The sequence below is a fragment of the Homo sapiens genome, chromosome 8 (assembly GCF_000001405.40).
Source record: "Homo sapiens chromosome 8, GRCh38.p14 Primary Assembly".
In the NCBI taxonomy this organism is placed as follows: Eukaryota; Metazoa; Chordata; class Mammalia; order Primates; family Hominidae; genus Homo; species Homo sapiens.
Window position 1 is genome coordinate 130,909,476 of NC_000008.11, and position 13,895 is coordinate 130,923,370.

Here is a 13,895-nt window from a genome sequence, read left to right on the forward strand (position 1 = left end):
GCTGTGCAGGGCAGAGACCCGAACACCTCAGTGTTATTCCACATCCTTGTTGCCTCTGATGCATTTTACTAGATTTTGGAAGCTAATAGTTGTATGATGTTTCAGTGTCTGGTCTCCTTCCAAATAATTGCTTCCTAGATCTAACCCTGAATTTCTGTACACAGGAAACCCACTGTCACAAAATAAGCCAATGACAACCGTTAAGCATGAAAAGGGCTTTGCTTTATCTTACCCAGGGATTCCTCCAGATTCGAGTTTGTTTGCAATATCCACATCCCAAGACCAGACATCAAACTGCCACTTCCTTAGTCCCAAAACACCGCACAGCACCGAGCCGGAGTGGATTCCAATCCTCATGTCAACATCGTGTTTTGTCCTTGACCGCACATACCTGTTGACATAGGTAAATGGAGAGACACATGTATAAGACCAGAGTGGGCATCGTTGGCTCTGCACTTTCTTTTCTTTTTTTTTTTTTTTGAGACGGAGTTTTGCTCTGTCGCCCAGGCTGGAGTGCAATGGAGCTGCAACCTCTGCCTCCCGGGTTCACGCTATTCTCCTGCCTCAGCCTTGATGGTCTCGATCTCCTGACCTCGTGATCCTCCCGCCTCGGCCTTGCAAAGTGCTGGGATTACAGGTGTGAGCCACCACGCCCGTCCACCTCTTCACTTTCAATGTCACCCCTTCCATGAAGCCTTCTTAGGTTCTTTAATAACTAGAAAGAGTCTCTGAACATCCTTAGCCTTTTATCTGTACTTTTAAGGGCTCTTTGAAACCTTCCTCCAAAACCTGCTCTGTAACCTCTGTCTTAGGGAATGGCACCAGCATCTTTTTCTACCCAACATTAACCTGAGATAGATTATTGATTTCATACTTCATTACACATTCCATTTCCAACCAAAATGTCAACTGTTTCCTTCTTTCTAGCCCTTCTGTGACTTAGTTCAGACCACCATCATGCCTGAGTCTGGGATCCCTGCCTCAGCCTTACCTCCTTCCAGCCCATACTGTCATGGTTTCCAGCTGCTCCTTCTAAACACAAATGTGACCTCATTACCCCATCACTCTTTTCTGACCTACTACTTAGAGCTGTGGTCTCTGAAATAGAGTGTTTACATCCCAGGGCTGAACTGGGTCATCCGTTGAGATGCAGGAGGAAAATGTTAGAACTTCCATTCACAGCTTTTGTTACTTATGTTGAAAAGCTTTACCAACATTTGATATATAGATTGATATTGGAAACTTAGGGGATACATGTCTGGTCATCCTCTGACTGTAAGTATGGAGGAGGCATCTTGAGAAGACAGAAGAATTTCTACCATTGGATGATTTCCTGTAGTCATGAGCGTTCTTTCTTTCAGAGTATTTTGAACAATTTTAGTTTATGATTAAATGATGTCATTTATGCAGAAAATCAAATGGTAGAAGATAATACTTTGTAGTAGAATTACTAGAAAAACCTTCATTGCCCCCAAATGCAATGATTATGTGACTTCAAAATGCTTAAAAGAGTTGTCAGACTTAAAAGTGAGCTATTCATTTGTCTTTGACAGAAGACAAGTGTTCCAAATTTGCTGATATTTTTGTGATAATAAGTCGCCATTAATATTCCTTCTAGCATATATTTGAAAAAAACACACAAACTTGCTTAATTTATTTCTTCCAACTCAAGATGATGACTTAAGAATGAGCAAGAAAGTAACTGATTTTTAAAGAAATTGATGCTCTGAAGAAAGCATTTTGAGAATGGAAGTTTGGAAATGTTTCCATCTTTTTAAGAATTTTGTTGTAAAACCAAAGTTATGTTATATCATCTATCAAAATTCTTAGAGCTGCACATTTACTAATGTTTAAATATCTTCTAAATGAAGATTTCTGATGAGGTCAGAACCCATTTATAAGGGCTTAAATCCATTTATGAGATTGGAAAACATTTATAAGATATATGTTTAGCTCTGATAGCCACTGAAGCCTGGTATAGAGATAAATTGAACTTAAAACCTGACCTTTACATTACTATATCACAAACTATTAAAAATTTTTTTTAAAAAGAATTATGTTTAAACCCATTGCTCTCTAATAAATGGTGAAAGCAGAAAAGTCTAAATTAAATTGTAATTAATTTAAAATTTTAAATTTTAAATTTGTAATCAAATTAAAATATTTAAATTAAATTGGATACTGTAAATTAAAATACTTTAAAGTATTTTTATTTTCTCATTATCCTTTAAAATCCCTATATTATGTATATTTTATGGTATATATTTTTAAACATATGAATATAATTAAATATAATTAATAGAATAGTTAATAAATATAATTTTATTAGATATGCATATCTTCATATAATTTTATTAATAAAAATAGGGGATCAAAATATTTAGATACTACTGGTCTATAAGATACAATGGAAAATTCCTAGTCTGGCACACAAAATTCCTCATGATCTGTCCAGTGCCTTAGTTATTCTTCTCATTCCTCATGCACACATTAGACTCCAGCCATCCAAACAACAAGTCATTGTCTGAACCTTGTGTTCCTTCTTTCCTCTCTGGGACCATGGTGCTTCCTCAATCTGGAATGTCCATTACCTCTTTCAATGGAAGAGCTTCTACTCCATCTTTTAGAGTGAAGCTTGGTTTAACTCTGGCCAGTAAGCTGCCCTGATTTCCAAGTCTGACTATGTACCCTTCCCTGTGTTCTCATTGCATCCTGGGTGAACAGTAATTAGGGTGCTGTGTTATAATAATCTGTCTCCTGTAAACTAATTGAGAATGGGGACTTTGAACAACTACTCTGTATGTTCCCCTCTTAAGATTGTACTGTATCTGGCACGTGGTTAACACTTAGCAGGTGTTTACTGAGTAGGTGGATGGGTGGATGCCTGGGTGTCCAATACTTTCTATTAATGTTCATATATATCCAAGCTTTTTGGTAAAGAGTATAAGGTCCTCGAAGGCATTATTCCTGCCTGAGGCAGCCTTACATTCCTCACAGCCTGGAGCATCCTGCTTTCCATACAGTAGGACTTAAGACATGCAGTGTCCTTTTTTAAAAGAAAAAAATAAATAAAGAATGAATGAATGATTCCATGTACTCAATTGAATCTTTGCAGTCTCTGTTCTTAAATTGTAAGGTAATGCAAAGCTATTTACATAAGAAAGTAAAGTTGAATTGGGTTGAGAATATGGAAATATTGTAATAAATTAGACATTAGGCAGGCAACCTGTGAACATTAGAAGAAATGCTTGTAACTAATGGATGAGGTTTTTCTTGATCTTGGTGAAGTTCCTGGTTTCTGGGTCATTGTTTTTACTTTAACTCCCAAGTTAAAAAGCATATGGTACTTTATATCTACTGACAATGAAAACTGTAGGAGCCATTTAAAAAAAATTGACAAGGCAAGAGAAGAAATGGAATCCAGCCTTTGAGAGGAGCACATCAGTTTCTGAGGCACTTTTCCAGTGAGCTTCTGTGCAGGAGGTCATTGAGAGGAGTCATTTGTGCTATCCACAGCCATGCCCACTACTATACTATTCAAGTGTATAGTAGGATTGTCCTCCCTGCATAATTTTTTAATTTTTAATTTTTGTGAATACATAGTAGGTGTATATATTTATGGGGTACATGAGGTGTTTTGAGGCATGCAATGTGAAATAATCACATCATGGAGAATGGGGTATCCATTCCCTCAAGCATTTATCCTTTGAGTTGCAAACAATCCAATTACACTCTTTTAGCTATTTTAAAATGTACAATCAAGTTATTATTGACTATAGTCTGTTGGGCTATCAAATAATAAGTTTTATTTCTTTTTTCTATTTTTTTCTACCCATTAACCATCCCCACCTCCCTCCTAACCCCCCACTACCCTTCCCAGCCTCTGGTAACCATCATTCTACTCTCTATGTCCATGAGTTCAATTGTTTTGATTTTTAGATTCTGCAAATAAGTGCAAACATGTGATGTTTGTCTGGATATTGATGTTACTTTTGACCAATGAAATATGAGCAGAGGTAATATGTGTCACTTCTGGGCAGAAGCTTTAAGACCATGATCAACCACAGTCTTTAAAATTTTTTCTCTCCTGTGTCACCATCATGAGTCAAGGAGCTCCTGATGAAGCCTTCTAACCAGGGTCCTTGAATCAGGATAAAATGTTATGATATCCTGCTATCACACCCCCCTCCTGTAATAAAGTGTGAATGAAAAATAAACATAAAGTGTGAATGAAAAATAAATGTTTACTGTTTTAAGCACTGAGATTTTAGGGATGTTTGTTACTATCCTGACTGGCACAATCATGAGTCCCAATTGATGTTTTCCTTATTACACTGTTGTCACTGTAGTATGAGGGTTAATATCACAGACTTTAGTGCTAGACAGCCAAGTTCTCATCTTGTTCCATCACTGACTGGCAACATGAACTTAGAGAAGTTATTTTATTTCCCTACAGATGCTTTAATCTCTGCATCGATAAAATGTTAATAACGTTGTCAAGATTAAGTGAATAAACACATGCAGGGAGTTTATAACAGTGCCTGGCCTATAATAAGGACTAGTTGCTTGTCTACTATTTATGAAGGAATTGTAGCCTGAGAAAGTAAAATGATTTTCCCTATGGCCCAGAGCTGGTAAGTAGGATTCCAGGACTAAACTGGTACTGTTGTGTTTTTAAAACCCATACTCTTTGAACATGTGATCCTGGGCACATAGTTTAATCTGACCCTGAGTTTCCATAGTTGTAAAATAAGGCACTACCTGATTGCTTCACACACAGAACTATTGTGAGCCCCGAAGGATATAATAATGGATGTTAAAGTGCTTTGCCAGCTAATGGTGAGAGACTACTAAACAGCACACGGCGCTAATGTCATTAGGCAATTAACATTATACAGAGAATGCACTGGAGCATCTTAATGAAAAGACATTTAGATGATTTTTATTTTCCTCTACAAAACAAGAAGCATAGCAAGAAGACTTCACATTTTTTTACTGCATAGCTTTTCTTTCTCTTTCATTTTGTGTCTGGGATTTGACTTAAAGATAAGAATGAAACTATATAAAAGTAATTAATAATTTACAGACATTGATACTCATTAGTAAGGCTACCCTGTGGTTGCAAAGAACCACAAACACACACAATGTATTTCAAGATCAGTTCTTGAGGGGAGGACCTCGGAGCATTCTTGAAGCTAAAATGGAGACAATTCTACTCCTAGCGACAAGTCTTGTTCAGTTCTTCCAGAGCAGAGCCCCAGGGATGTTTTGCTGTGCCTAATCAGTCACAAATTAAGAGAAAAGGACTATAGATGACATCTGCATCTTCTCTTTCTTCTCTAGACACTCGGATTCTGGAGGGCAGGGATGCCACCTTCCATTCCCACTTAGCTCAAAGCTCAGCACACAGACATAGTCAGTGCTGAAAGTTATTTATCAAGTTAATGGAGAAAGCTCAATGGCTTTCTGGGTTCACAGGCCTTTGGCTGTCCCAAGATGGATCTAAGAGTCCCAGAGAAACCACTGAGTTGCCTTAGGACCTCCTAGTTGGGGAGGGGATAACCCCCTAAACCTCCTCCTTTCAAACAGAGCAAATCTACTTTCTGTTCTTCATGGTGAGATTCCATTCAAAATTTCTTTTAAATAAAAAACACACGTAATTATCATTATTATTTTTGCTCACCTCTGTCTAGCTGGGGACAAATCATGCAACAATTAACAAACCAAAGATTGACAACATTATTTCTTTTAACTGAACTATTAAGGAAGCATGTTATAATTATAAGGTAAAAAATGAGGGACCTTAGATTTTTTCTTTCAACTTAAATGCTTCAAAGGGTTCTTTTTAGACAATTAATCCATAGGAGTTGCTAGAGGAATGACAGGACGCATAATTCAGTAGCAATCATTGATCTATACATTAGACAGGAATCCCAATGCTGTAGGGGCTAGAGCAAATTACACATATTTCCCCAGCAACACCACACAGGCATAGAACATGCATTAAAGCAGGCCCGGATCTGACATCACACTTCTCCATTTACTGCTTGTGGATGTCAGGCTAGTTGCTTTAGTCTCAGTGTCTCAGTCTTCCCAGGTGCAATGGGGAAGAGAATTGGTCCTCTGTAGAGGTGTTAGGGTGGTTCATAAAATAATGTATGTAAAACACTTAGCCTGGTGGATACTGAACACTCAAAAATAGTACCTAGTACTAACTTTTGGAAGTAATACCATTTTTCAATTGCACAGATTGAATCAGACCAATAAAATGATGAATTGATCACTTTACCTACCCTTTTCTGCTAAAACTCTGCCTACATCAACTCTATTCACACAGACATAGCTTCAACCAACCCATCAGCGGCACAGTTCTTAGGCATAAACTGGTCTAAACAGAGTGAACAATGGTTACAATTTAGGCAGAATTGATTGGGCCCCAGTCACCTGGAAAAAACGGTGCCCTTGAACATTCCAGAACAAAGGAAAGGCAAGGGAGTTAGTTATGGAGGTCAACTACGTTCATTGCCCAGGGCGTTTTGTGCAGCTATGGAATCATCTTCATAACAAACCTGGGTATCACTACCAGAGCCAGTTTACAAGTGAGAGAACTGAGTCACGAGAGGTATATTGCTTTACGTCACACAGTTATTGATGGACTAGTTAGAATTTCACCCCGGGTGTATAAGCCTGAACCCATTGGTCCATTTCTACTTCCCTGCATGGCTTCTTTAAAGGGAAATACAAAAGGAAGTATGTGGACTACTGGGGTCTGAGCTGACTCAGCCCAATATATGGACACAGTCTCTACAGATTAATCTCCAAAGCCTCCCTTCTTATAGATCTGAGTTTGCTGAGGGTACTTCAGGAGTCATTGTGGGGTAGGGACTGCCATTGTGGTGGCCATGAAGCCCAACTTTTCCTTCAACCCTGATCCATTCTATTGCCTCTGCTGGACTTTAGTGTCAGCCTGCCGTATGAAACGTAGGGTCCATCTGCTTCTTAAAATGTTTGAAAGCCACCGTGTGTTGGGAGCAAGCCCCTCAATGTCTGGCCATAAACTGGCCCCAAAACTGGCCATAAATAAAATCTCTGCAGCAATGTAACATGTCCATAATGGCCATAACGCACAAGCTGGAAGATTGTGGGTTTACGGGAATGAGGGCAAGGAACACCTGGCCCACCCAGGGCGGAAACCGCTTAAAGGCATTCTTAAGCCACAAACAAAAGCATGAGCGATCTGTGCCTTAAGGGCATGTTCCTGCTGCAATTAATTCGGCCCATCCCTTCGTTTCCCTCAAGGGATACTTTTAGTTAATTTAATATCTATAGAAACAATGCTAATGATTGCTGTTAATAAATATGTGGGTAAATCTCTGTTCGGGGCTCTCAGCTCTGAAGGCTGTGAGACTCCTGATTTCCCACTTCACACCTCTATATTTCTGTGTGTGTGTCTTTAATTCCTCTAGCACCACTGGGTTAAGGTCTCCCCGACCGAGCTGGTCTTGGCACCATGCTTACCCTGACATGAAAGTTGTGATTTCACAAAGTGCTTCCCAATTCATGTTCTCATTTTGATAGCCACAGTGACTCTGAAAGGTAGATGCCTATCAATATTATAAATTTTGATTTTATAGATGAGCAAACTGAGGCTCTGAGAGGATTAAGATGCGGTTATTACCTCTCCTGTGCTAGGCCTTTTACCTTAATAACCTCATTTCATCCTCATTTCCACCACAGGCTACATATACAGCTCATCCATTTATTCTTTCAACAAGTGTCTGTTGAAGAACTCTAAAGATATAAGCAGTGACCCAAACAGACAGATCAAGTTCTGCATTCATGGAGCTTACATCAATGTGGTTTATTCCCATTTTACAACCAAGGAAGCTGGAGCCCAGAGAGGTTAAGTCACACGGGTGTTAGGTAATGCCAGACTCCAAGCTGAATGGTGTTTGGATACTTTGCTGCTGCTTGCACTCCCTTCCAGTGGAAAGGTAATGGGGAAGACCTAACTGCACTCACATTCAAAAGCAGGGTGGATCTAGGGAGAGAAAAGTGAGAGCAATGGTGTTCTTGAAGATGAAAGCGTTGCTGACCCTTCCTGCCCTGGTGCCCCGGAATCTTAGAAGAACAATAGAGACCAAGTCAGGACAGCAGCTGTGCGCCAAGTCAGCATTTCCTTGTTGATCCCGCTCAGGGGAGTTCTGAAGTTCTGAATTCTGGATTTTTTAGGACAATTTATTTCCTGAAATGGCCCTAACTCAGGGGTGAGGGAGGCACAGGGAGTTTGTGTGTGTGTGTGTGTGTGTGTGTGTGTTGGGGGTGAAACCATTGGTGCTTCTTTTATTCCCGTTAATTTCCTCTCCTTCCTTCAAGATGCCCCTTATTGTATAGTGCATTTCCTTTTCCAACGTGCCCTCTGTCCTACCTGCCTGGAAGCACTCAGCATTCCCTAGCAGCCCACATCTGGCCCTGTAGCCTGGCCTGCTGCAGTGCTTCACTGCCTGGATTCAAAACCCCAAACATTCTGGGTTGGGGCCATCGTTTCTTTTAAATACAACTGGAATGTTTTTTGGAGTTATTACAATTTTCAAGATACATAGGGTAATACTCAGGGATAAATATTCTTATGATTCTCTGATTTTGTGTGGGTCTTAATCAACTCAGGCTGCCATAACAAAATTTATAGACTGGATGGCATAAACAAGAGGAATGTATTTCTCACAATTCTGGAGGCTGGGAAGTCTGAGATTACGGTGCTAGCAGGATCAGGTTCTGGTGAGGGCCCTCTTCCTGGCTTGCAGATGGCTGCCTTCCTACTGTGCCCCTACAAGGTGGAGAGAGAGAGCCAGCAAGCTCTCTGGGGTCTCTTCTAATAAGGGCACTAAGCCTCATTTAAACCTAATTAGATCCCAAAAGCCTCATCTCCAGATACTGTTATATTTGTGGTTAGGGCTTCAACACAGGAATTTGAGGGGGATAAAATTCAGCCCATAGCAGTGTGATTTATTAAATGAGGGAGTAAAACCTATTTTTTTAAAAAAACTATATTATGAAATATATTTTAAGAGATTATTCCCATTTTAATTAATTTAAAAATTATTTGTTTTGTTTCTTGTCAGTAAAAATAAACAATGTTGGATAAAATTTTAGATGTCAACTTAGAACTGTTTGAGGGATGTAGCTTTCAACATTATTTTAGAGAGTATGGAGCAAAGAGTTTGTAAATCACTGTTTTAAAAACCAGAATCAAACCCTTCCATTGGACAACCTCTAATCCAGTGCTATAGAAATTGTGTATCCTGGCCGGGCACGGTGGCTCATGCCGTAATCTCAGCACTTTGGAAGGCCAAGGCGGGCAGATCGCCTGAGGTCAGGAGTTTGACGCCAGCCTGGCTAACATGATGAAACCCCATCTCTACTAAAAATACAAAAATTAGCTGGGCATGGTGGCACACGCCTGTAGTCCCAGCTTCTCAGGAGTAGCTGAGGCAGGAGAATCCCTTGAACCCGGGAGGTGAAGGTTGCAGTGAGCCGAGATCATGCCACTGCATTCCAGCCTGGGCGACAGAGTGACAGTCCGTCTCCAAAAAAGAGAAAGTGTGTATCCCATTAGGTGTTCCATGAGAGAAGTCTCTGTTTAAACAGAGCTCTGTGGGACTGGTCAGTATCGCATGTCCAAACTGGGAGAGTCATTTAACCCGAAACTTCATCTACCCTTTTGCTGTTTTTTAACATGGCCCAGACACTTAACAGTTACAGGCTCATGTGGAGAGTGTGGGGAGTCCTGGCCAAAGATTTTTGTGTGCATTATTTAACTCACACTCGCACACACACACACACACACCACACACATGATGTATGTTGTGATGGGCTATGGCCAGGCCAGCTGTAGGCACATAGATACAGTGAGAGCAAGAACATGGCTCTGTGTCAACAGGAATTTCATGTAAAGGGGTTGATCTCTGAGTGCCAATGTGGCCTCTCTCCTAGCCTGCAGAAGAGTGGGTGCAGAGCTTGAGGGTTGGGTGGGTAAATGTTTAACAACTGTCTCTTTGGGAAGAAAAGGTCCTGATTTGTGATGTCTGTCAACTTCTGTGGTGTCACTATTTTTGTCATGGATGAGTTCAAGCTTCCAACTTGAGGTCAACTGGCTTGTAAAATTCCTGCAAGTTTAACAGTTGGCTTTTGCAAACAGACAGGGGCTGACCTAGGCATATCACTTTTTAAGGCTTGTGACTGGGTAGTTTTCTCCTCCTAGGGGCAGCTGAGACCACTGCAATTCACTTCCCTCTGTATGGAACAGAGAGGGACACCACAGCCCAGCCCACTTCCTGTGCCCTTACTCCTCTGTGCTTTGTGTCTTGCTTGTTTCTGTTGTGGCAATGAGCTGAAGTCACTTCAACTATCCTCCAGTATTCAAACCTGGATTAGTCCTTATGGTGTGGCCTTCCACATTATTATCCCCATTTCCTCAGGAAGAAACTGAGATTCAGCATGTTTAAAATTCTTGGAAGCAGGGCCTGGTGCAGTGGCATTTGCCTATAATCCCGGCTACTTGGAAGGCTGAGGTGGGAAGATCCCCTGAGCCCAGGATTTCCAGGCTGCAGTGAGCTATGATTGCACCACTGTGCTTTAGCCTGGGTGACAGAACGAGACTCCGTTTCTTAAAAAAAAAAAAAAAAAAAAAAAAGATTCTTAGAAGTAGAATGTAAACCAAGTTCTCCTGAATTCTAAATCCTAAGCATTTCCTATTATATCACGTGGCCTCTTCCCAGAAGTGTCACTGGGTTAGAGTGAGAACTGTGTTACATGAAGACAGTAAGCAACAGACAAACAGTGTGCCAGGGACACTGTGAGGAGCCTTCCATTTAGAACCAAAAACACCGTGATCCAAGGATGCTAATGGAATATGGCTCCACCGCATGTGGGGCTCCTGGTATTTCAAAGGGAAAGACAGCTGTGGTCACACTAGACTCCCCTGCCCACAAACCTCTAAAGGCTCTGCCACTTATCCAATGAAGTGAAAGTGTTTTTACTATTACTAAGTTGGTGCAAAAGTAATTGCGGTTTTTGCCATTAATACATTTTGATAGTCACCCTGACTCATCTCCATATATTCTAACTCTGAGCTTTTGCAGATGTTATTGCCTAAGGGAGGGAGGAACACTGTGATTTTTAATTTTATGTGTCAATTTGGTTAGGCCTTTGTATCCAGATATTTGGTCAAACACCAGGCTAGATGTTGCTGGGAAGGTGTTTTTTTAGGTGAGATGAACATTTAAATCAGTAGACTGAGTAAATCAGATTACCCTCCACAATGTGTGTGGGCTTTACACAGTTGAAGGCCTTAAGAGAAAAATTACTGCTGTTCCCCAAGGAAGATGAAATTCTGAATCCAGCCTGCTTTTGGACTCAAGCTACAATATCAACTCTTCCCTGGATCTCCAGCCTGCTGGTCCACCCTGCAGATTTTAGACTTAACTAGCCTCCACAATTTTGTGAACCAATTTCTTAAAACAAATTTTTATAAGTAATACACACCCTGTTGGTTCTGTTTCTCCAGAGAACCCTAACACAAACACCTTCCTGTCATCTCTACCTGTCAATACTTTTCCTTTTTGAAATAACATTTTCTTTTCTAGTTCTATTAGTTATACATGATTATTCCCAAATATTAAAAAATATAGTAAAGAATAAAGAAGAAAATTAAAACTACTCAATTTCATCACAGAGCTTTATGTCCTTTCTTTTTATAAAAATAGATGTATTAAGAAGTGGAGGTTCCCATTCCAGCAGGGGTAGCTAAAAATAAATAAAAAATTAAAAAAGCTGAAGTTGGTTTAAATATGTGTGCATGTGTGTATGTGTGTATTCTACTATGTATACTTTAAATGCATGAGCATTTTTCATGCCATTGAATATTAATGTAAACCATGATGTTTAATGGTTATCCATTTTTCTTTTTCTTTTCTTTTTTTTTTTTTTTTTTGAGACAGAGTTTTGCTCTTATTGCCCCGGCTAGGGTAGTGCAATGGCATGATCTTGGCTCACCACAACCTCTGCCTCCCGGGTTCCAGCAATTCTCCTGCCTCAGCCTCCCTAGTAGCTGGGATTACAGGCACGCACCACCATGCCTGGCTAATTTTGTATTTTTAGTAGAGATGGGGTTTCTCCATGTTGGTCAGACTGGTCTCGAACTCCCGATCTCAGGTGATCTGCCTGCCTTGGCCTCCCAAAGTGCTGGGATTACAGGTGTGAGCCACTGCACCTGGTCGTTACCCATTTTTCTATTTTTTACATATGCCAGAATTTATATAATCATTTCCGTACCTTTGAACATTTATGGCATCAGATGGTGCTGTGGTTTGAATATGTCCCACATATTTCATGTATTAGAAAGTCTCCAAGTGGCAGTATTGAAAGGGGGCTTTTAAGAGGTGATTGGATCATAAGGGATCTGCCCTTATGAATGAATGATTCCATTCACAGATTAATGGATTCATGGGTTAATGGATTAGTGGGTTATCATGGCAGTGGAACTGGTGGATTAATAAGGAGAGGAAGAGGCTTGAGCCAGCACATTAGCTCACTCAACCCCTCATCATAAGATGCCCTGTGCCTCCTTGCGCTTTCACAGCGAGTCTCCAGCAGCAGTAAGTCTCTCACTAGATATGGTCCCTCAGCCTTGGACTTCTCAGCCTCTAGAACTATAAGAAATAAATTCCCTTTCTTTTTTTTTTTTTTTTTTTAATTGATCATTCTTGGGTGTTTCTCACAGAGGGGGATTTGGCAGGGTCACAGGACAATAGTGGAGGGAAGGTCAGCAGATAAACAAGTGAACAAAGGTCTCTGGTTTTCCTAGGCAGAGGACCCTGCGGCCTTCCGCAGTGTTTGTGTCCCTGGGTACTTGAGATTAGGGAGTGGTGATGACTCTTAACGAGCATGCTGCCTTCAAGCATCTGTTTAACAAAGCACATCTTGCACCGCCCTTAATCTGTTTAACCCTGAGTGGACACAGCACATGTTTCAGAGAGCACAGGGTTGGGGGTAAGGTCACAGATCAACAGGATCCCAAGGCAGAAGAATTTTTCTTAGTACAGAACAAAATGAAAAGTCTCCCATGTCTACCTCTTTCTACACAGACACGGCAACCATCCGATTTCTCAATCTTTTCCCCACCTTCCCCCCTTTCTATTCCACAAAACCGCCATTGTCATCATGGCCCGTTCTCAATGAGCTGTTGGGTACACCTCGCAGACGGGGTGGTGGCCGGGCAGATAAATTCCCTTTCTTTAGGCATAGTCTGTTTCAAATATTCTGTCAGTAAGCAACAGAAAACGGGCTAATAAAGATGAACATGATTCAGAGCCTTTGCTATGTCACTTACAAGCTGTGTGTCATTGGTCAGAAGATGTTTTTATTCTATCAGAGCTTGAGTTTCATTTGGAAATTGTTCTTCACAGAGTTTTGGTATTTGTGAAGTAATTCAGGTAGATTATTTAGTATAGTGCCTGGCACATGGCAAACATTCTATCAATATTAGTTTATCAACAATTATTTCTAGATATATTCAATTTTCATTATTACAAATAATTTTGCTAAAAATAAAAATTTCTGTCCATGTACTGAACATCACTCTAATTGAAGCAGGCTTATGAGTGCTGAATTTAATGACATTTTGGAACAGAGTGAGACAAGGGATTTTTGGGGGAAATAAAGAAAGGGAAAGAGAGAGAGAGAAAGAGAGAAAAGAAAAGAGGGAGAAGAAGTGACGAAGGGAAGGAAGGAATAGACAGAAAAAAATAGAAAAAAATAAAATGTAACAAAGAGAGAAATAAAAAGGAAAGGAGGCTGGGAGGCAGGTTTAGGCATTCTTGCCTTCAGTAAAAACA

General features: G+C 40.3%; 1 protein-coding gene across 5 annotated transcripts in view; it reads right to left on the minus strand.

The window, feature by feature from the left end:
* The window catches only part of ADCY8 (adenylate cyclase 8), a 260,609-nt gene that overhangs the window by 129,175 nt on the left and 117,539 nt on the right, over nt 1-13,895 (minus strand). For all 5 annotated transcript variants that reach the window (XM_017013006.2, XM_006716501.4, XM_005250769.4 and 2 more), the window contains exon 6: nt 233-391. In XM_017013006.2, the coding sequence (XP_016868495.1) occupies nt 233-391 (159 nt within the window). The remainder of the gene's footprint in view (nt 1-232; nt 392-13,895) is intronic.